Source organism: Homo sapiens, chromosome 10 (genome assembly GCF_000001405.40).
Source record: "Homo sapiens chromosome 10, GRCh38.p14 Primary Assembly".
Lineage (NCBI taxonomy): Eukaryota > Metazoa > Chordata > Mammalia > Primates > Hominidae > Homo > Homo sapiens.
In genome coordinates, this window is record NC_000010.11 from 133352770 (window position 1) to 133374002 (window position 21233).

At 58.4% G+C, this 21233-nt stretch overlaps 2 protein-coding genes and 1 non-coding gene across 17 annotated transcripts, besides 6 other annotated features; all 3 read right to left on the reverse strand.

Moving 5' to 3' along the window:
- Window positions 1–3: 3 nt before the first annotated feature.
- Window positions 4–5250, reverse strand: FUOM (fucose mutarotase). 15 transcript variants are annotated; one of them, XM_011539675.3, is made up of 6 exons: window positions 5154–5250; window positions 4418–4486; window positions 4174–4244; window positions 3871–3969; window positions 2969–3042; window positions 4–2366 (listed from the first exon to the last, which is right to left on the reverse strand). In XM_011539675.3, the coding sequence occupies exons 1-6, from the start codon at window positions 5236–5238 to the stop codon at window positions 2351–2353; spliced, it is 414 nt and encodes a 137-aa protein (XP_011537977.1). In that variant the 5' UTR covers window positions 5239–5250; the 3' UTR covers window positions 4–2350. The 15 variants fall into 15 exon arrangements, with proteins under 15 accessions (XP_011537977.1, XP_011537975.1, NP_001091953.1 ...); XM_011539673.3 differs by having other exon boundaries at window positions 2969–3075; NM_001098483.3 differs by lacking the exon at window positions 4–2366 and adding an exon at window positions 2389–2667.
- Window positions 3267–4001: an enhancer, noted in NCBI's record as "H3K4me1 hESC enhancer chr10:135169540-135170274 (GRCh37/hg19 assembly coordinates)". NCBI's record gives its function as "activates a minimal SCP1, AML or CMV promoter by ChIP-STARR-seq in naive H9 embryonic stem cells {active_cell/tissue: H9 hESC(naive)}" and the evidence as "EXISTENCE:reporter gene assay evidence [ECO:0000049][PMID:30033119]".
- Window positions 4479–4578: an enhancer, noted in NCBI's record as "active region_4247". NCBI's record gives its function as "activates an Ori minimal core promoter by ATAC-STARR-seq in GM12878 lymphoblastoid cells {active_cell/tissue: GM12878}" and the evidence as "EXISTENCE:reporter gene assay evidence [ECO:0000049][PMID:35858748]".
- Window positions 4729–5348: a silencer, noted in NCBI's record as "silent region_2975". NCBI's record gives its function as "represses an Ori minimal core promoter by ATAC-STARR-seq in GM12878 lymphoblastoid cells {active_cell/tissue: GM12878}" and the evidence as "EXISTENCE:reporter gene assay evidence [ECO:0000049][PMID:35858748]".
- Window positions 5399–5478: a silencer, noted in NCBI's record as "silent region_2976". NCBI's record gives its function as "represses an Ori minimal core promoter by ATAC-STARR-seq in GM12878 lymphoblastoid cells {active_cell/tissue: GM12878}" and the evidence as "EXISTENCE:reporter gene assay evidence [ECO:0000049][PMID:35858748]".
- Window positions 6511–6673: a silencer, noted in NCBI's record as "fragment chr10:135172784-135172946 (GRCh37/hg19 assembly coordinates)". NCBI's record gives its function as "represses an EF-1alpha promoter that drives an FKBP-Casp9 reporter gene in an ReSE screen in phorbol 12-myristate 13-acetate-treated (for megakaryocytic differentiation) K562 erythroleukemia cells {active_cell/tissue: K562(+PMA)}" and the evidence as "EXISTENCE:reporter gene assay evidence [ECO:0000049][PMID:32094911]".
- On the reverse strand, window positions 9716–20585 carry ECHS1 (enoyl-CoA hydratase, short chain 1). Its single transcript, NM_004092.4, has 8 exons — window positions 20477–20585; window positions 17791–17988; window positions 17135–17262; window positions 16154–16253; window positions 14120–14224; window positions 13207–13326; window positions 11889–11956; window positions 9716–10164 (listed from the first exon to the last, which is right to left on the reverse strand). The coding sequence occupies exons 1-8, from the start codon at window positions 20562–20564 to the stop codon at window positions 10099–10101; spliced, it is 873 nt and encodes a 290-aa protein (NP_004083.3). The 5' UTR covers window positions 20565–20585; the 3' UTR covers window positions 9716–10098.
- Window positions 18787–18894, reverse strand: MIR3944 (microRNA 3944). The gene has a single exon (NR_037509.1). It is a non-coding gene; the product is annotated as a microRNA 3944 (primary transcript).
- Window positions 20348–20857: a silencer, noted in NCBI's record as "silent region_2977". NCBI's record gives its function as "represses an Ori minimal core promoter by ATAC-STARR-seq in GM12878 lymphoblastoid cells {active_cell/tissue: GM12878}" and the evidence as "EXISTENCE:reporter gene assay evidence [ECO:0000049][PMID:35858748]".

A 21233-nucleotide genomic window follows, 5' to 3' on the forward strand; every position in this document is an offset into this window, starting at 1 on the left:
GCTGAGATCGTGCCATTGCACTCCAGGCTGGGCGACAGAGCAAGACTCCATCTCAATCGATCAATCAATCAATCAATCAACCCCTGCAAACAGGTGGGAGGCCACATGCCCCAGAAGACCGATGACCGGGGCCCAGCCTGCCCTGCCTAGGAGAATCAAGGGCTGCACAAGGCCCAGGTGACCCTTGGCTCCCAGAAGGTTGCACTACCCCCAGGCCCTCCTCCTTGTATACCGGGATGGTGAGGGGTGTGGCAGCAGTTAGGGGATGGGACCAGAGGGCACCCTGGGACCAGTCTCAGCTGAGAAACAGAACCCACCCTGGGCTCCCTACAGCAGGAGCCTGAGACAGGGTCGGGGAGGAGGGTGGCCGAGTGCCTGGGGCTCAGGGCCCAGCTGAACGGACGTGCATGTGCTCAGGTGGAAAGTGCACAGGTCTCAGGTGAGGGCGGGTAGACCCAGGCCCAGGACATGGCCTTTCTGCCCTCCTGACGTTCTGTGCAGCTCCCACTCTGGGTGCCCATCCTGTCCTCCTGGCCCAGCAGGCCCAATGCTGCAGCGCAGGTCCAGGCTGCTGGAGTCACTCACACACCGCATGTGTCCTGGGCACATGCAAATGTGGGCGGGGTTCCTGCGTGGCAGTCTCATCCCTATGGTGAGAGAGAAGCACCTGGTGCCAAGCCCGGGGCTGAGCCACACACATTTGCCAGCTCCAGCAGCTAAGACAGAACGGAGCAAGGGAGAGAGGCCACCCGTCCCTCATCCTGCCGTGTTCAGCCCTCGTGTGGCCACTCAGGGGGCTGAGGGTTTGCCCAGGTGTGGAAGAGCTCCTTGCACCGCCAGCAAATCCCCGCTCTCCCAGGACACCAACGGCTGAGAGTAACTGCCCAAGGGTGCCCCACGGTGTCCCACAATGTAAGAGCTGTTACCCTGGCTTATGGATGAGCTGGAGAGGCCAGTGACCTTTGAGGTTCTGTCCTAAAAGGGCCAGAGATGGGCTGCCAGCTTCTCCCTTGGCAGCCTCCCCTGTCATCCTGATAAGAACATGGGGTAGGAGGGCATTGAGGGATCAACACGCTCAGGGCTGAGATTTGGGCAACTCCTTCCCCACTCCCTGAGCCCCAGGCAGGTAGAAGACCCTGGATCTCTGAGTTGCAGGAGGGTCTTGCCCTAGGCAGCCCAAGCTGGTGTTTGTGGCTTTTTTTTTTTTTTTAAAGCTATCTTGATTTTATTTTGTTTTGCCCATTACTTTGTTTTTTCTCGTGATTTTACTTAGTTTGCTCATATATGGCTTCATTTATATAACATGCTAGAGAGGGCACACTAACCCCAGAGGCTCATCTGTGGGGCTGAGCCTGGGGATGGGCGAGGGTGTGTGCAACCAGCTCGTACACCGCTGATGTTAGGCCACGACGCGGCCATCGGGTCTAGAGATGAGCAGTGATTGGCCAGGCAAGTGCGAGGCCCCTGGGGCCAAGGCTGACCACTAGTGAGCACAGAGAAAGCCTTGGCTACCATCTGGGAGCAGCAGGCGGACAGGACCCCAAAGTCTGCAGCCAAGCCCAGACAGGGTCCCTTCCCCAGATTTGGAGCCACATCTCAGCCGGGGTGGGCTTGCCTGCACCCCCAAGGTTCTCCTGCGGTCTGGAGTGGGGGTCTGGAACCCTGGGACTTGCCCCCTCGAGCCCCGGGGACACCAGCCCCAGGCCCTGGGGGAAGCCCCTGTCATCCCCACTCCTGCCCTTGGTCCCTCAAACTCCAGCCCTGCCCCATCTTCTTCCTGTACCTGTCACTGCAGCAAGTTCTGGGGAGCAAGACGAGGGTCCGGACAGTGGCTGGTGGTTATTCTTCCCCATCCTTGGGGACCAGTCCAAGCATCCCATGGGCAAGCCTCCCAGGCACCCCCTTTCAGGAACCCCCTGCATCCCACCTCTGCCTGGCACTGGACTCCAAATGACCTCGTGTCCTTTACCTCCCCTGCCTGCCAGGGCAAGTGAGGCTTTCAGCGGGAGGCCACCTATGCCACAGGCATAGGGCATGGCCCACACCGAGGCCTCTCCAGCCGACAGTTCCTCCCGAAGCGTCCAGGCCAGCCCCTGCCACCTGCCCTCCTGCGGGTGGAAGGAATGGACCCCGGTGAAGAACCCCCTTGGTGTCCACAGCCCAGGGGCTATGGCAGAAGTCCCCACCCCTCTCAAGGCCTCCAGGGCAGCCACTGCCCCCACTCCAGCCCTTGGTGTCCCCAGGGCACCAGGCACCCCGCCCAGTCCCCAGGGCCCCAGGCCTGATTTCCCACTCAAGGTTCGTCAAGGGTACGTGGGGGCCACTCTGGAGCCAGCAGCCTCCCTTGAGCTCAGCACCAAACAAGCCTGCGTGAGAACAGAGCTGGAATTGGACTCTTGAGACTGAACGTTTTTCCATCATTTTCACAAATCAGGGATACTCGTCCCAATTGGCAGGGCCCACCCCAAGACTGCCGGCCCCTAGAGCCCTGGCCAGGGCCCAGGTCTGGGAGCTGCCACTGGGAGGCCTGTTGTGAGTGGTGGTACTGGAGCTCAGGGTGCCCCCAGTTCCTCTTCCGGCCCAGGTGGTCTTCACCAGGCCTACAGCAGGGGGTTGAGGGCAAGCACCCCCTTCCTGAGGATGAGGTTTCCGTAGAGGGCCGTCTCCCTGCAGAGGAGCCAAGCCCAGCACTGAGCTGGGCTGCAGGGCCAGGGTGCCGAGACCCTGCTTCAGCATCTGGGGGACAGAGCAGACCCTGTCCACCTTCACCCACTTGATGCTCAGGCAAATGGGGGCCCTGCCCCCCCGAAATTCCTCCCTGGTCTCTCCACTCTGTGGGACGTCTAGCCTCAGCCAGGCAGAAGCTGAGAAGAGGGTAGGGGCAGCTCCTGAGGCCCCCCGGTGGGGATGGGGGCAGCTCCTGAGGCCCCAGTGGGGATGGGGCAGGTCTGAGCCAGCTGGAACTCACCCCGTTGCCACAACAGCAAAAGCCTTCTTAGCCCGTTCATAAAACTCAAACCTCTCTATCTTTGCCAGGGCTCTCTGGAAGACAAAATGGCAGGGTTGGAGGGAACCCTGCCAAGAAACCCTCATGGGCCAGCCCTGGACTCCCCAGGGCCCAAAGCAGGGAGGGCACCAGGAAGTGGGGTTCCATTTCTTGGGCTCTCCCCCGGCAAGGGCCCCACGGTCACTCAGCCTCTGGCTCCCAAGGCCTAGGACAGGGGGTCCCAGGACATGGTGGACGAGGAACCTGCCATGCTTGGGTCTCTGCCTGACCTGGGGCCACCCAGACAGCTCAGTAGACTGTCGAGCCCCTGCCAGCTGTCCTGGGGGGAGTCCCCTGCCCAGGACAAGAGCCCCTGGCCCCCCTTATGGAGGCCCTGCTCAAGACCTGCCAGTGGGTTGCCCAGGAAAATGGGCCTGTCCCCTTGCAGGGCAAGGTGTGGAGAGGGCTGAGTGAGACACAGCACCCAGCTAAGCCTCTGACCAACCATAGCCAGGATGGGGCGAGAGACCTGGGACCAGGGGGCACCCCTCCAGGGGAGATTGAGGAGGTGGAGGCCAGGCATCCTGAGTCCCCCAGGCTCCACTCACAGGCTGTGGTGGGTGACAACCCACCTGGCAGGTCAGGATCCTGGGCGGGGCAGGGCAGGTGGAAAGCTCGGGGGCAGAGGAAGAGGGGCCACACTGCCCAGGTGCACCTCTTCCACCTGGCTGGTGAAGGAGTGCCAGTGGTCCGGGGTTCTCAGGGTGATGGGTGGGAGACCACTTGAGGACAGAGCTTGGGACCCTCTGTCTTTGGCTCCTCCTGAGCCTCCAGGAGACAGAGGGTCCCTGGCCTTTTCCCCACAACTGGGGCTGCAGGCTTACCACACAGCCGGCCCTGCGTAGGATGGACTCGTACTCCGTCCACACTGGGGTCTGCAGGCCCCTCTCCTTGTCGCTGGGCACCAGCTCCATGACTGCAGCCTAGAGGGAGGGGTCAGCTCTGGGGCCCTGGGCACTGCCAGCCTTCCTGGTCAGGTGACCATTCGGGACTCCCCTGGTGAGGGTCAGGGCCCCTTTGGGGACACATGGCTTCCCCCCACTCCAAGGCAGGTGGGCCCTATGAAGCCCGCAAAAGGGGAAACTGAGGCACGGAGCAGCAGGGTGCAGGGGCGACTCAGCCCTCACCGGACTCTCCACATAGGTGTCCAGGGGCAGCAGCTTCAGCACGGCCTCCAGGAGCTGCGGGATGCCCAGGCCTGGAGGGCAGAGGAGGCAGCACTCAGTCTCCAGCCCGCCCGCCCGCCTGCCTGTCTGCACCCTTCACACTGCAAGCATGGACTTGGGGCCACGGCAGGCCACAGAGGAGCCTCAGAGCCAGGAGCACCGCTCACCCGCCCGCCCTGCCCTGGGGGACCTGGGGCTCGCTCACCGTCTGCACGGATCTCCATGGGCCCACACTGGCAGATGGAGGAGGCCGGGAAGTTCAAGTCCGCAAGAACTAAACAGCCGGGAGGACAGCCCGTGTCGGCACCTATCCCTGCCCTCGGGGTCGGCGCCGCCCGTCCTCCCACCCAGTCATGGCGGCAGATCGTGGGTCACAAGAGGTCTCAGGTCAGCCAGTTGGGCGCCCCCACCGCCGACCGGCCGCAGTCAGATCCGCAGGGCTGGAAGCCACGCGGGGAGGTGGGGAGGGCAAGGTCCCTGCCTGGGAGGCAGAGAGGCGTCAACAGCTGCCCGCGAGGCTGTCGGGTGCTGACCAGGCCAGGGGGCCGACCCGGACCCGGCCGCCTCCCCAGGGGCCAGAGGACGCGCGGCTGCCCGCGATGCCCGGACCAGGCCCCCGGCCACCCAACCCCTGCCCCGGGACCCCAGGCCCCAGGAGAAGAAAAAGCGCCGAACCCTCGGGGGCAGCCCAGACGCGAGGGCTCTCGGGCCGTCTGGGGAGGGACTCCGGGAGAAGCTCGGGCCGGCTCCGCCCAGAGCCCCACGAGGTCTCAGTTCCCTAAAGAATGCGGGGGAGGGGGCTTCCTGCCCGGAAGCCAGGGAGGCCCGAGCAACGCCCACACCCCAGGACGCGGCCCTTCCCGGCCCGGGGGTCCCCGTGCAAGCCTCGCCCTCCTGCCTGTCCCGGGGTGCTCCCCGAGGCCCCGGCCCGCTGCGCTCACCGATCTCGTCCCCGTGCCCCATCCGCGCCAGCGCGTAGAGCAGCTCGGGGGACAGCAGTGCGGGGACACCCTTCAGCGCCACCATGGCCCGGCAGACGGGGCGGGCGGGGCCTAGGGGCGGGGCTTGGGGGCCGGGGCGGGGCCTTACGGGGAGGGCGGGGCTTGGGGGCAGAGGCGGGGGCCTTACGGGGAGGGCGGGGCTTAGGGGCAGAGGCGGGGCTTTACGGGGAGGGCGGGGCTTTATTGGAGGGCGGGGCTTTAGGGTCCCGGGCTTGGGGCTTGGGGACGGGCCGGGCCTAGGGTTCGGCGGGCTGGGGTCCGCTTGCGGCTCAAGGAAGGGCGGGGAGCCCCAGGAACTGGGGACGTGCGGGCTGAGTCGTGGCGTGGGGGCAACACCCAGCCAGCCCACGGGCTCCTCGCCAGGTCCGAGACTCGGGTGCCCTTGCGCTGTGGCCGGGGGCTCCCCAGTGTCCCTACCCGAGCCTCCCACCCCGAGCTCCCTCAGGCCGAAGGGGTTCAACCGCCGCGGCCTCCCCTCATGAGGGTCTCTGCCCTCTGACCACTTCGTGCTGCCCTTAGGCCTGGCAGAATGCCCGGAGCGCACCGGGTCCCTGGGGTCACCATGGTGGGTAGCTGGACCCAGGCCTTCAGCCCACGCTCCTGAGGGACCGGGAGCAAGGGACACGGGAGCCAGGACTTCGGACCCCCTTGGGGGGAGTCCAGGAGGGCAGCCAGGCCCAGCTTCCAGGCTCAGCTGCGAAGTGCCAGGACACCTAAGGGTCCTCCATCATCCCCCGGTGTCAGCGGCCTGCAACCCCCTGCCCAGGATGGCGGCATCCTGACCTTTGGCTGAGCTCAGGCTGGCCAGGCCCTCCCTCCGCGGAACCACCTTCTTCCACATGATTCCCAGCTGGACACCAGCTGTGGGGCTAGCACTGCGGCCCTGGCCCTCAGCCCTGAGGTGACACAAATGCTCTGAGGCCTGGCGGCTCCTAAAAAGTTCTGAAAATCAATCTGTATGTGAAAAATGACAAAGCCGCGTCAGAAAACCAGGAGGAAACAGACGTCTCCATGTTGAACTGCTTGGCCCTAGGAGCCTGTCCCCATGGGAAGTGGCCTGGGCTGCGTCGGAAAAGCCTGGTGGGGCCACCCAGGCTGGCACCCAGCAGCACCTGAACAGCTGGCCCTGGGCCGGCCACTCGGGCAGAGAGAAGACCGGGGCTGCCCAGGGCCTGCCAATGAGGGGTGGCTTTGCACCGAGGCCACCGGGTTTCAGAGCTGTACCTGGGCAGTTTCTACTCCAACTTGTAAGTGGAGAGTCACCGTTTACCCAAATATACAAGGGCAAGAGGATTTTATAGAGATGGGCAAGAAAGTTTTCAGCTTCAAAACCAAATCAGGCCGGGCGCGGTGGCTCACACCTGTGATCCCAGCACTTTGGGAGGCCGAGGCGGGCGGATCACTTGAGGTCAGGGGTTGGAGACCAGCCTGGCCAACATGGTGAAACCCCGTCTCTTCAAAATATACAAAAATTAGCCAGGCATGGTGACTGGTGCCTGTAATCCCAGCTACTTGGGAGGCTGAGGCACGAGAATTGCTTGAACCCGGGAAGCGGAGGGTGCAGTGAGCCGAGATCACTCCACTGCTCTCCAGCCTGGGTGACAGAAAGTGACTCCGTCTCAAAAAAAAAAACAAAACCAACAAAGAAAAAACACCTAATCAAACCCCAAACAATAATGGGGCCAGAGGTCAACTAGCTCAGGAGTGAGTGGAAGCCTCACTCTGAGTCTGGGGTTCCCCTGCCCCGGACAGTGGCACCCCTCCCTCCAGGCTCCCTGGGGCCAGCATGAAGACAAAGTCCATTCCCCAGCCTAAGGGTTGGGTGTCTGTCCCTGCCAAGCTCTGGAACCAGATAACTAGACGCAGCCCTCTGAGATGCGGCTTCCATGCTGGGCCCTTTCTTGGCTTCCAGCCAAGTGTGGCTGACACAGGTATGAACGTGAGGCTGCAGCCAGCCCTACGGATCTCTGAGGTTCCATTGCTTGAAATCAGATTATGGAGGCTGACCCCAGTGCACATGAAAAATTAAACGGAGTGGATTTTCTCAATGTTCAGGCTTCCTCCCTTGCATACTTGAACATTTGGTGCCTATCTATCTCTGCATATTTACTCCAGGCTCCAGGGCCAGTGGTTCATGACCCACGCAGACTCCACGTGCTCCACTCCAGTAAGTGAGCAGGTTCCAGATTCCCTACCCCAAGGGAAGAGCCTGTTATGCCCTGTTGGACCTGAATCAAACTCCCTTTGTACCTGTTTCAGTATTTGTCAAACAGTCCCAGATCCCAAGGCTTATCTGAGGCTTATCTGAAAAGAACATCTCCCGCCTGTTTTAAGGCCAACTGCATGAGAACTCCCACCTGCCCTGGCAGAAGCGAGATAAACCTGCTCCACCCTGAAGCCGGCTCTGAACTAGTGGACTCCAATCACAGCACACAGGAGGACAGACGGGGTGGGTGGGAGTGCAGAGCCAATGCCTCCGAGGCAAGCGGTCGCAGAGCATGCGTGTGTCCCCTTTGCGTGTACATGTAACCGGACACACGGGCGTGGCACCTGCAGCGTTCAGGGAACCAGAGCTCGGCAAAGATCACTGTTCTTCTTTCTTGATGCAGGTGAACCTGTCCTTGGTATTCAGCCCAAGTCCTCAGCGGTGGGGGCTCACACACTCTGCCCACCCAACCCAAGGCCATGACCACAATCTAGACCACCTACGCACACTGAGCTGCGGGGCCAAGTGGAGGAGACACCGGCAAACGCTCTCTGGCGTCTGCACTGAGCTGGGGGCAGGTGGGCTTCCCTGGGGGAAATACCTAGAACCAAGGGCATGATGACATGTCCATAGTATGAAACGTCAGGGCCACTAAAAAGAATGTTATAGGACTGTCATTTAGTGAGAAAATCAAATGGTGAAACATGCCACAACAGGCACAAACCTTCTGGACAGTATGTGCCTTAGCTTGGGCTGCTGTGATGCAGTGGCATGGTCTGGGTGGCTGATAAACACTGACTTTCCACAGTTCTGGAGGCCAAGGCTCCAGGCAGGTTCGGTGTGTGATGAGGCCCACCCTGGTTTACAGACAGCACCTTCCCACAGAGCACTCACATTGTGGGAGGGGTGAAAGAGTGCCCTCAGGGCTCTCCTAAGGGCAGTAATCCCACTGGAGGAGCTCCGCCCCCTCATAGGGCACTAATCCCACTGGAGGAGCTCCGCCCTCTCATAGGGCACTAATCCCACTCAAAGAGCTCCATCTTCTCATAGGGCAGTAATCCCACTGGAGGAGCTCCGCCCTCTCATAGGGCACTAATCTCACTGGAAGAGCTCCATCCTCTCATAGGGCACTAATCCCACTGGAAGAGCTCTGCCTTCTCTTAGGGCATTAATCCCACTGAAGGAGCTCCGCCCTCTCATAGGGCACTAATCCCACTCAAAGAGCTCCGCCCTCTCACAGGGCACTAATCCCAAAGAGCTCTGCCCCCTCATAGGGCACTAATCCCACTTGAAGAGCTCTGCCCTCATAGGGCACTAATCCCACTGGAGGAGCTCCGCCCCCTCATAGGGCACTAATCCCACTGGAGGAGCTCCACCCTCTCTCTCCTAGGACACTAAACCCACTCGAAGAGCTCTGCCCTTGTGACTAGTCATTGCCCAAAGTCCCCCCTCCTAATGCAGTCACGGTAGGGGTTAGGATTTCAACCCAGGGATTTGGGGTGGGGCTGAGTGAAATGAGCCTGACCCAAAGGGATAAATGGAGGTCCCTCCATAGAGACAGGAAGTAGAAGCGTGGGTGCCAGGAGCTGGAGGGAAGCAGAAAAGGGGTTGTTGTTTAACGGGGACAGTTTCCGTTTGGGAAAATGAAAGCTTTCTTGGATAGTCATGGCTGCACAACGAGAACGTACTTAATGCCGCTGAAATGTGCATTTGAAATGGTTCAGACCAGCCTGGGCAACACGGGGAAACCCCGTCTCTACAAAAGGTAAATTTAAACAGTCAGCTGGGTGTGGGAGTGCGCCCCTGTGGTCCCAGCTACTTGGGAGGGGGGGAGGATCACTTGAGCCCAGGAGATTCAAGCTGCAGTGAGCTGTGACTGAGCCACGCACTCCAGCCCGTCTCTAAAACACAGTGGTTAAGATGATCAAGTTGACGTCGTGTGTTCCCACAGTAGAGAAGAATGCAGTAAACTGAACAGAGAGCTCCTTATGACAGAAGTAGGAAGAAAATAGGGTGGGCTCTCGTGAGGAAAGGGCTCGACGTGAGTGGGCGTGGAAGAAAACCATAGACCATGCCTGTGCCCGTGTGCAGGGGTGTGTGGGTGCGTGCACAGAACTCTAGGAAGTCACAAGCCCAGCTGTTCACAGTGGCTACCCTGGAAGTATGATGTGAGGCAACTGACTATACAAACTTGTTTTGTTTGAATGTTGTTCCTTACAGTGAAAAAACAAAAAAGTTTAAAAAAACAACTAACATGACAGAATGCTCATTGCAGACATGACTACAAGGCGTGGTGTAATCTGAATCGCTATCACTTTAATCAGCATCTGTATGAAGGCAGCAGACAGCGTTTCCCTCAGAGCAGCCCCATTCTTCAGCGGCAGGGACACAAGGACCCGCAGGCCCCGCTTTCCGTCCGAGCACAGCATGCCCAGAGGGACCAGCGGGGGCTCCTCAGCAGAATCTTAGATTTAGAAGGTGCTCCAGTCAGGACCCTCACAGGCTGGGTGACGAAGGCTGTCATGCCGTGAGAGGTCGGGCCACGACCACGCAGCAATTGGAGAGGAACTGCACACCACGGACACTGCTCTTGAAAAGAGGATGATTTACTTGCTTCTAAAACTGACAGGCTGCACTTGTCCTCTCCAAGCAGAGGTGTGAAGCAGGGGCAGCTGGTTCTCACTGGTCTTTGAAGTTGGCCTTTCTCTTTTCCACAAACGCGGTCATCCCTTCTTTCCGGTCATCCTGGCAGGAAAAGGAACAGAAACAGAGCTGGACGCGCAGTATCCTCACAGAGCCTGATGCCAATGTCCGCCCGTCTCTCCCTGGCTCTGCCTCACTCATGCTCACAGGGGCCCAGGGGGCCGGGGAGGGGACTCAGCGGCAGGAACACCTGCCCAATCAGAGCTGGGCCTGGGCGCGGGGATTTTCACGGCCTCTCTCTACCAGTCTAGGTGACGGTCATTCAGGAGCCACTGTGTATGTCCAACAAGCTCACATCTAAAGAGCCTCAGATGCACCCATCTTGGTCACTCACCATGTCATCAACTGGATGATGGGTGGCCTGTATCAGGGGCTACTCTGTGTTGGAGTAGGACGTGAGAACTCAACTCTGCATCTGCTTTTCTTACACTGTGTGCACGTGTGTCCCCAGGTGTGCGCGCGCGCACACACACACACACACACACACACACACGCATCTGTACCCCTTCCTCAGGTGCCCAAACCACTTTTAATTTTTATTTTATAGAACAATTAAAACACCGAAGTATGACTTTCTCCCAGTGAAAGACATGAATTAAAATGGTAATCTGGCCGGGTGCAGTGGCTCACGCCTATAATCCCAGCACTGTGGGAGGCCGAGGCAGGCAGATCACTTGAGGTCAGGAGTTCAAGACCAGCCTGGCCAACATGGTGAAACTCTGTCTCTACTAAAAATACAAAAATTAGCCAGGTGTGGTGGTGGGCACCTGTAATCCCAGCTACTCGGGAGGCTGAAGCAGGAGAATCACTTGAACCCAGGAGGTGGAGGTTGCAGTGAGCTGAGATCTCACCACTGCATTCCAGCCTGGACGACCGAGCAAGACTCTGCCTCAAAGGGAAGAAAATTAAAATTATGATGGTAATTAGAGGAATTACTTTAAGTTACTGGCAGAAATCTTATAAAATATTGCTCTAAAGCTTCAGCTTATCTTATTAGAATACATTTGAGCCTATTCCAAATAATTGGAATGATCTAAAAAAACATGGGTAAAATGAGTTACATTTTTTTTTTCAGACAGAGTCTCACTCTGTCTCCCAGGCTGGAGTGCAGTGGCGTGATCTCGGCTCACTGTAATCTCCGCCTCTGGGTTCAAGCGATTCTCCTGCCTCAACTTCCAGAGTAGCTGGGATTACAGGCACCTGCCACCACGCCCGGCTAATTTTTTGGATTTTTAGTAGAGACGGGTTTCGTCATGTTGCCCAGGCTGGTTTCAAACTCCTGAGCTCAGGCAATCCACCCGCCTCAGCCTCCCAAAGTGCTGGGATTACAGGGTGAGCCACCGCGCCCGGCCTCATTTTTTAAAAAAGTCTTTTTTTTGAGACGGGGTCTTGCTTTGCTGCCCAGTTGGACTCGAACGACCCGCCTCAGCCTCCCAGGAAGCTGGGGCTACGGATGCTCGACACCCACCCGGCTGAAACTGCATTTTCAATAAAGGAGCTGCTTGAGGGTGCAATTCACAGACCTCACATAACAGGAAAAACAAGAAAAGCCCCTGTAAGGTTTCTGTACTTTTGAACTTGTACATGCTCTACTTTTTTCCTAACATCAAGACCCACTGATGGAACCAATCTGATCCCGTTAAAGGTGAGGCTGGCAGTTCTGACCAGAAAGAAACGATACTTAATGATAAAATTTAAAAGGAAATTCCCAGCAACTTGTGTGACTGGAATTTGCTTGATTCTCCGGTTGAACACTGTTTACTCACAGTGGCAAAGGTTGAATAAAAGAGTTTCTTCTCCAACTTACTTCCTTCTGTTAATGTCATTTCAAAAGCTGAAAAACAAAGTCCCAGAGTTATGAACGGAGATATTACATGCAGAACTTTTCCTGCACGGTGACAGGAAGCCCTCCTCACTGACCCATGCACAACTGTGCTTTCGACGTGGCCCAGCCCTGCACAGGCTTCCATGGTGCCGCCCTTCTCAAAGGCACTGCCCCAGCGGAGACCTGGCAGAACCAACAGCTCTGCTATGGCCCCCAAACGTCACACTCCGGTAGCCCACGGCCCCAAGAAGGGAGAGGAACTGGATGAAAGGTGAGATGGCAAACTGTGCCCTTGAGGAGAGGCTGTGAGGCGGCAACGGGGCTGCAAACAGAGAAAAATAACCAAGGATGAAAACCAGGAAGGACAGCACGAGAGCCAGAGCTGGGCGCGGCCGGCACCAAGAACGCCTTTGGCTCTGCTCATTCCAGGCCCGTTCTTTGCACGAGGCCAAGCAGAGCAGATCCAGGTGCGCAGATGGAGGCAGGCGCTGTGGCTCCAGGGCTGGTGCCAGCATCCTCTCCCAGGGGAGCACGACCTTGCCAAACACCTCGGGCGACAGCAGCCTCCGTTCTTTCAAAATGCTCTCCTCACTGTATCCTGCCTCAAGCCAACGGCAAGCCCGGGGGACGGCCACACCCTCGAGATAAATGCACTCAGAGAGGTTAGGGGACCTGCCTGGGGCCACCCACACCTGTCCGGACTCAACCAGCTAATAACCATCTCATTCCACATGCTGAGAATAAATTGTGACATTAAAACTTGAGCATTTCTGAGGAGGGGGAGGTTCAGATCCACTTCCCTGGCAGAGGGAGAACTAAAAGGGATCCAGGCCAAGAACGAACAGCGTGGTGCTGGGCTGCAAGCCTGCGTAGCCACCTGCCAGGCGCACACGCAGCCGCCAACCCCAGGTCTCGGGAGGTGAACCGAGCCTCCCCATGGCAGAGACCATTTTACATTTGGGACCTCTGCTCCCTTCTCAGCCTTTCCCTGCCACTGCCAGCTCTGTACTGCCCTCACCTCCCAGGCCTGGCTCAGTTCTTGGGCCCTGGTACAAAGGGGAGCTGGGAACATCTCAGCGGAGTTCCTGAGTGCGTGACCAGAAACCACGACTCTACAGACAGCAGAACTGAGACACTGAGAAGCATTTCTGCCCAGGAGGGCTTAAGGCATATTCATTTGGAGCCAGAAAGCCTGCTGCTGAGGAATGCTCCTGACAGCCACGGAGACCTCTCCAGTGTCTTCCTGGCAGATCCCCTACCTGCATTCACTGATTCTTTGGCCATCGCTACTACAATTTTAGAATTGCTGGCAATTTTTTCTGCACACTGGATGGCTTCTTCCACCAGTGTCTCAACAGGACAAATCTTGCTGACAAGACCTGAAACACAAGAAAGTCAGTGAGTGATGTGCAGAAACAGCACTTGTCTATCCCTTCTCGAGTGAGTGGCCGCTGGGGAGCAGCGTGGCTGGAGCACCCCAGCCTCTGGACGCTAAGCAAGGGCGGCTTCCACACGGGAAGTGCCGCACGTGCCCCTTCCTGAGTGCTGAGTGATCTCGGCACTGCGGTCACTGTGCTCTCAGACATGTGGGCCAGGCTGGCCACAGCTCCGACGGCAGAGGCGGCCAGACACGGGGACTGTGATCACCAACAGGGCAGTGGGAGGACCGGCCACTGAGGCCTGGAGATGCCCATTGCTTACACTGCATTTTGGGGACGCAATTGCTGGGCTGTTATTCTGTACCAGATACTTACGTGTGGTTCACTTCCGTACATACAGTACTTCAAAATGTAGAAACAAAAGGCAGTCAGTCTTCTCCCAGGTCCTCAGGACCCAAAAGCTCATGCAACCACCGTGGGGGCACTTGGATGCTGCCCGGGGTTTCTGTGGGGCTCCCACGAGGGGGACACCTGGATGCCGCCCTGGGTTTCTGTGGGGCTCCCCCATGGGGGACACCTGGATGCAGCTCTGGGTTTCTGTGGGGCTCCCACGAGGGAGACAACTGGATGCAGCTCAGGGTTTCTGTGGGGCACCCATGAGGGGGACACCTGGATGCTGCCCCGGGTTTCTGTGGGGCTCCCCCGAGGGGGACACCTGGATGCCGCCCTGGGTTTCTGTGGGGCTCCCACCCCGGGTTTCCAGGTGGCTCTTGCGGGCAGCCCCAACCCATACCTGCTTGCTTGGCGTCCTGGGCTGAGATCCGGTCACCAGTGAGGACCATCTCCATCGCCAGCGACTTCCCAACAGCACGGGTGAGTCTCTGGGTGCCGCCCGCACCTGCAGGGAGGGGCTGGTCATGGCTGGCACTGTGATGAGTGAACCCAAGAAGACATCACAGCTGTGCAGCCAGCAAATTCCAAGGGGCTTAAGATAGGCCCTGAGACTAGGTCCAGGGGTCAGAGGCCAGGCAGCACAAGAGCCCGGGAACATCAGGGGCAGCAGCCCCTTTTCAAGCTCAGGCCCCACATCTGGTGCTCCCCTGTGGGCAAAGGATTACCTAGGTGCCGAGGCAAGAGACTGAAGGCACAAACTGTTTCGGTATAATAAAGAAAATAGTTAGAATAACAATAGTTATAATACAAATTAGATATAGAGATGATCATGGACATTATCAATCATTAGTATAAACATTATTAATCATTAGCTCTTAATATTACTCTTTGTTGTATTACTAATATAACCAAGAAATAACTGGCGGGTATAGGGTCAGGTGCTGAAGGCACATTGTGAGAAGAGACCTAGAAGGCAAGAGGTGAGCCTTCTGTCACACCTGCATAAGGGCCGCTTGAGGGCTCCTTGGTCAAGCAGTAACGCCAGTGTCTGGGAAGGCAACCATTACTTAGCAGACCATGAAAGGGAGTCTCCTTTCCTTGGAGGAGTCAGGGAACACTGCTCCACCAGCTTCTTGTGAGAGGCTGGATATTCTCCAGGCCTGCCCGCAGTCATCCGGAGGCCTAACCCCCTCCCTGTGGTGCTTCAACGATCACACTCCTTGTCCACTTTCATGCTCCTCCCGTACTCCTGGTTCCTCTTTGAAGTTCGTAGCAGATAGTGGAAGAAGAAAGAGTGAAAGTCTTAAAGTCTTTGATCTTTCTTGTAAGTGCATAGAAGAAAATGCTGACATATGCTGCCTTCCCTCTCTGCTTCGGCTACCTAAGAGGGAAGGGCCCCCTGTCCCATGATCACGTGACTTGCTTCACCTTGTCAATCACTTAGAGGATTCACCGTCCTCACCCTGCCCCCTCGTCCTGTATGCAATAAATATCAGTGCGCCCAGCCATTCGGGGCCACTACCGGTCTCCGCCTCTTGATGGTATTGGTCCCCCAGGCCCAGCTGTTTTCTCTTTATCTCTTTGTCTTGTGTCTTTATTTCTTACAATCTCTCGTCTCCGCACATGGGGAGAACACCTGCTAAGCCCCGTAGGGCTGGACACTACACTCCCCCAACACCCTGACATTAGATCAAGGTGATGACTCTGTAGGGCCCTCCCCAGCCTCTGTGGTCAACATATTAGAAGCTTATAGGCCTCCCTGACCCCAGGCACTGGTCCCTTATAGTAGCAGCTGTTCTAGGGATCAGACCCGAAACAAATGCACCGAGCTCACAGCTCCAGGCCTCAGAATCGGCCTCGTCCAACTCAGAGGGCAGCGAAGGGCACCCTGAGTGCAGCTGCTCCCCTCAGGGTCTCAGCTCCCTCCTGGCTGCTCGGCCTGGGCCCACCCTTCCTACCAGGAGAACCCTGGGGTTAGAGGGTGTTGCTTTTTGCCAAGAGCCCAGGCCCTTCTCACGGGCCTGGGTGGGGGGTCTGACTCCCCACCCTGAACCCAGGCCATGTGACCTCCATGGCCAGTGAGATGGCAGTGTGCAGAGCTCCCAGTGCCACCCAGGGTCACCATGTTCCCTCTCTGCCATGGACACGAATCACAAGCAAGAACTGTCATGGTTAGAAGCCAGCGTTACCCAGGACCAGCCTCTCCCAACACCATCAGATGTGGGCACAGTCACAGTCCCGGGACTCTAAGGCCCCCCCCAAGCTCTGTCACAACCACTCTAGCCTCCGTGGCTGTCCACAGAGGGACCACTGACCAGCCATGGGGCTGTCCATCCAGGGCCTCTGGTCAGATATGAGCTGTGGGCCCTGAGACACAGGCAGATTTTGAGTAATTACCTAAGGCATCTATGCCAGAGACAGTGTCACTCTTTACCTGGGATGGTTCCTATTAAGATCTCCGGCTGTGCAAACTGGGCCTTCTCACCGGCATAGATGATATCACACATCATGGCAAGCTCACAGCCCCCGCCAAACTGTAAAACATTCGGCATCAGGAGAGTCTTACCAGGGGAACCCAGTCAGAAATCACTCTGCTTGCTTATTCAAATTTTCCATTTAAAAGAAACAGTGTTGGGGGTATGACAAAGACTAACATGGTGGCACCAAACTAGATAATTGTTATGATAAGTTAACTACAGATGGTTGATGCTGTTTACCAGGGGCTGGCAAACATCCTGTAAAGGACCATGAGGGTCTTACAGGCTCTGCTGCCACGACTCAACTCTGCTGCTGTGGCCGAAATGCAGCCACAGAGACTAGGTGCACAGGTGGGTGTGGCTGTGCCGGGAAAACTCCATCCGCAGACCCCTGGCTTACACGGCAGGGAGTGTCATGAAATGATCACAATCCGCAGACCCCTGGTTTACACGGCAGGGAGCGTCATGAAATGATCACAATCCGCAGACCCCTGGCTTACACGGCAGGGAGCGTCATGAAATGATCACAATCCGCAGACCCCTGGCTTACACGGCAGGGAGCGTCATGAAATGATCACATTGCCTTCCCTATAGGCCAAGATCAGTCTCAGCACTTCAAATAGTCCCAGGACACAGAGCTTTCAAGGGGAGCAAAAGAAGCTAGTTTATAGATGTAGCCAAAGCCAACACCTCTCTTCCCCCACCCTGGAAGAGAGGCTTGCTGGGGAGAAGCTGTCAGGTGAACAGCCACGAAAAAAGCAGATGCCAGGAGGTGTCCTCTCCACACAGTTCCTGGCTCTTTAGCACCATGAGGCAGGAAAGGAGGCTGCTGGCCTGGGAACTAAAGGCCTCTTCAAAATAAAAATCTGTTATGCTGTGTATGCACAGCACGGTTCCTTCAACCACGAGAGGAGGAGACTCTTGGCAGCAACACTCACGGCATAGCCATTGACAGCAGCGATGACTGGCTTCTTGACCTGGGTGAGGTGGTCCCAGTGCTTCAAGAACTTGCTGGAGTAACAGTCCTGGAAACTCAGGTTCTGCATTTCCTTGATATCAGCTCCAGCTAGCAGGAGTGGAAAGGAGGTTCCAGTTACCAGAGAGCAGAGAGCCCACCCATCCTATATCTCTCAGACCAACAAGGAACTTCAGAGCACACCAGACACAGGCAGTGGGGTTGCTGGGCACGGCTGACACCAGGCCACGTGGACAGCTGTAGGGACGCTGTAATGCCAGCTAGAACAGAAGTCACGCAGAGGGGCCCTGAGGCAGGCAGCAGGTGCAAGGGAGGCGCCCACAGAGGCTAGGCATATTTGTCAGGGCATAAGCCCTTGACACACACAAAGCCTGACTGCCAAGGACCTAAACCCCTTTGAAGAAGCTGTTTTGCTGGTGGAGCACATGCAGCTCTCTGGCATACACAAAGCTGCTCATGCAAGCCGTTCCCATGACCGTCTTCACTCGATATTTGAGGAAGTCCCCAGTCGCATGCCTCTGCCATCACAGAGGCGCAAATCTGTCTGGAGGCTTCTCCCAAGGCCATACGTGCCTCCCACATCTGCCCAGACACAAAGGCCTCTGCTGCCGCGCGTACCTGCAAAGGCCTTATCCCCGCCGGTGAGGACAATGGCCCCCACGGCCGGGTCCTCCTCGAAGGTCTTCAGGGCCTGGTTGAGCTCGTCAATCAGGCCATCGCAAAGTGCATTGAGGGCCTTGGGGCGGTTCAGTTGGATCAACCCCACGGTGTTATTCTTCCCTCTTTTTTCTGCGATGATGTACTCAAAGTTAGCACCTGGAGCAAGAAGGCAAAAAGGGGTATCTATTCACACAGGTATCAAACTGGGGAGAGTGGGGGAAGGGATGTGGCCCCATCGGTGGATACAGTGTGACCCCAAGAGGCCCTCTGAGGGCTCCCTGCCGAGTCCTCAGTGGCTCCAGGTGTAGCTCTCAGCCACAAGGATAGATGGTAGCCTTGGTACCATTCTCTCTGCTTTCACATGTGTTTGAACATGTCCTAAAGAAAATCCCCGGGCCGGGCGCGGTGGCTCACGCCTGTAATCCCAGCAATTTGGGAGGCCGAAGCGGTCGAATCACAAGGTCAGGAGATCGAGACCATCCTGGCTAACACGGTGAAACGCCGTCTCTACCTAAAATACAAAAAATTAGTCGGGTGTTGTGGCGGGCGCCTGTAGTCCCAGCTACTGGGGAGGCTGAGGCAGGAGAGTGGCATGAACCCAGGAGGTGGAGCTTGCAGTGAGCTGAGATCATGCCACTGCACTCCAGCCTGGGTGACAGAGTGAGACTCCGTCTCAAAAAAAAAGAAAAGAAAAAAAGAAAAATCCCCAGCACAGAACACAGCCCACAGCCGCTTTCCTTCTCCTAATATGCCTTGGTCAGCTCTTCCCAGGACACCACTCTGGAGACAGCCCTGGACTCTGCTGAGACAAGGCACCAGGAAACACCTTCTTTCAACAAATGCCAACAGGTGAGGGGGTGTAAGGCAGCTCCTTGCACTTGGTACCGCCCCAGTGCCAAGACCTCTGGCCAACTGGACGCAGGGTGGGGGATGTGAAAATCCTGGGTGTTCCTGCAGCATTAAGATCAGGCACAGGTCCGGAGCAGCAGGCCAGCCCGAAAATGGGAGACGCAGGCGCTTCTCGGTTGGCCTGCTGCACAGGACCTGCGCCTGCTGGGTGGACAGCAAGGTGGGAAGGAGACAAAGGACAATGGCGTTCCAGGGGTGAGAAGGTGAACCTGAAAAGACAAAGGTAGCCTGTGTGTTGGATGCTTGCCTCCGTTAGTGGCAGAGCAGGGATCATAGTCCCTGTGCTATGGGTTTCTTTTTTTTGGAGACCGAGTCTCACTCTATTGCCCAGGCTGGAGTGCAGTGGCGCAATCTTGGCTCACTGCGACCTCTGCCTACAGGGTTCAGGTGATTCTCCTGCCTCAGCCTCCCGAGTAGCTGGGACTACGGTCACACACCACCACACCTGGCTAATTTTTGTATTTTTAGTAGACATGGGGTTTCACCATGTTGGCCAAGGTGGTCTTGATGACCTCAGGTGATCCACCTGCCTCAGCCTCCCAAAGTGCTGGGATTATAGGCATTAGCCACTGTGCCCCGCCGTATCCTGTGGGTTTCTAGGGGTAACTGGAAGATCACAGGTGAAGTGTCTGGCAGCAGTGCCCGCCATGCAAGATCCAGGAAAGGGCTGCTGTCAGGGTGGAGAAGCCGAAGGCCAAGGAGAGCATGGAGATGAAACCAACACAACTCAGTGGTCCACTGCTACACAGGGTGAGGGAGGAAGAGGAAGCAAGAGTTCTTCCCCAGCCCAAGGCATGGCCCAAGATTCCTCAGATACTAGAGCCGGTGATGGCCGCTCATGAGTGGGGCCCCGGGTGAGCCACGAGGGAGGAAGAGGGCAGCCCCCTGTGGCTGGGGAGGAGGTGTCAGCTTTTCCCTTAGGACCCTCTGAGGGGTGGCCCTGGTCAGGAGGCACCCAGGACAAAATGCACCTGCATCTCCTGTTCTCGGGCTGGCCGGCTGCACAGGAGCTACGCCTGCTCTTAGAGCCGAGGGAACACCCCGGATTTTTACAACCCCCACCCTGCGCCCAGTTGGCCAGAGGTCTTGGCACTGGGGCAGTACCAGCCAGCCGCCGGGCCTCCCGCAGGACGTGGCCTGGTGAGAGTGGCCTCCTGCAGAGCCAGGCAGGGGGTGGGGGTGCGGGCCAGGGTCAGGTGGGTGGTGTCGGTGCGGGGTGGCGGGTGGTGGGGGGGTGTTAAGCCTGGGTCAGGCTGTGGGTGCGGGTCAGGTGGGGGGTGCAGCACTAGGCGAGGGGGGTGTTGCAGGCCTGAGCCAGGCAGGGGCTGCGGGTCGGGGTCAGGTGGTAGGTGCGGGGTCAGGCAGGAGAGTGCGGAGTCAGGCCCTGGGGATGCGGGATCGGACGGAAGAGGGGTGCGGGGTCAGGCCGGGGGGTGCGGGGTCAGGTGGGGGGGTGCGGGGTCAGGCGGAGTGGGGTGCGGGTAGGGGTCAGGCCGGAGGGTGCGGGGTCAGGTGGGGGGGTGCGGGGTCAGGCGGGGGGGTGCGGGGTCAGGCGGAGTGGGGTGCGGGTAGGGGTCAGGTGAGGGTGCGGGGTCAGGCGGAAGAGGGGTGTGGGTTGGGGTCAGGTGGGGGATGCGGGGTCAGGTGGGAGGGGGGTGCGGTCTGGGATCTGGTCTGGGCGTGCAGGTCGGAGTCAGGAGGAGATTCGGGCCGCCAGCTCTCACCGCGCACTCACCCGAGGCGAAGGGACGCCAGGCGGGACAGCGAACCGGGGGCCTCAGCGGGCCGCGGACGCAGGACAGCAGGACACGCAGGGCGGCCATGGCTCTCTGGACTCCTCGCCCGGCCCCGCGGAGCCGCCCCCTCGCCTATAGCCTTTCAGGGCTCGCTCCGCCCACAGGCCAGCGCCGCGAGACCAGGCGGCCCTCGCGAGATCAGCCCGGGCAGAGTGAGCGGGTCGCTCTCCGCCAGGCCCCGCCCCCAGGCCCGAGCTGCCGCTCGCGGATCTAAGGCCGAGGGGCGTCCCCGGGACCCCGCCCTGGGCTGGGACCAGCGCCCTCCAGGCCCCGCCGCAGTCGCCCGCGCCCCCGCCCCCGCCCCAGCCCTCGGGGTCCCAGCTGGCCCCGGGGAGACCGCGCGGAGGCGGAGGCAACGGCGGCGCCTGCCGGGCTCTGCGCCGCCTCCCCCCGCCCGCCTGCCCGCCTGCCCGCCTGCCCGCCTGCCCGCCTGCCCGCCTGCCCGCCTGCCCGCCGGCGTCTGTAGCAGCGGACACAGCGCGCCCAGGCGCAGGGCCAGGCACGGTGGCAGCGGCGTGGGCACTGAACGCCACATTAGGAGGAGTTTTATTTTCATGCACACAAGACTTCAACAGATTTAAATAATAAAAATTTCATTCATTTAAGTTATTTTATTTATACCTTTTAAATATCTAGACAAGTATTGTGGAGCATCCATTTGTGTACTTGCCCGGATTCTGCAAACGCCAGGGTGGA

Excerpts from the sequence above, each read along its gene's own strand:
- FUOM (XM_011539670.3), bottom strand. The coding sequence starts at position 5,238 with ATGGTGGCGCTGAAGGGTGTCCCCGCACTGCTGTCCCCCGAGCTGCTC. Across the intron at positions 4,245-4,417 it reads CATGGAGATCCGTGCAGACG|GCCTGGGCATCCCGCAGCTC; the intron begins GTGAGCGAGCCC and ends TCTGCCCTCCAG. Across the intron at positions 3,076-3,870 it reads TACGCAGGGCCGGCTGTGTG|GGTTCCCTCCAACCCTGCCA; the intron begins GTAAGCCTGCAG and ends GTTTCTTGGCAG.
- ECHS1 (NM_004092.4), bottom strand. The coding sequence starts at position 20,564 with ATGGCCGCCCTGCGTGTCCTGCTGTCCTGCGTCCGCGGCCCGCTGAGG. Across the intron at positions 14,225-16,153 it reads CTTAATAGGAACCATCCCAG|GTGCGGGCGGCACCCAGAGA; the intron begins GTAAAGAGTGAC and ends CCCTCCCTGCAG. Across the intron at positions 10,165-11,888 it reads TTTATTCAACCTTTGCCACT|GATGACCGGAAAGAAGGGAT; the intron begins GTGAGTAAACAG and ends TTTTCCTGCCAG.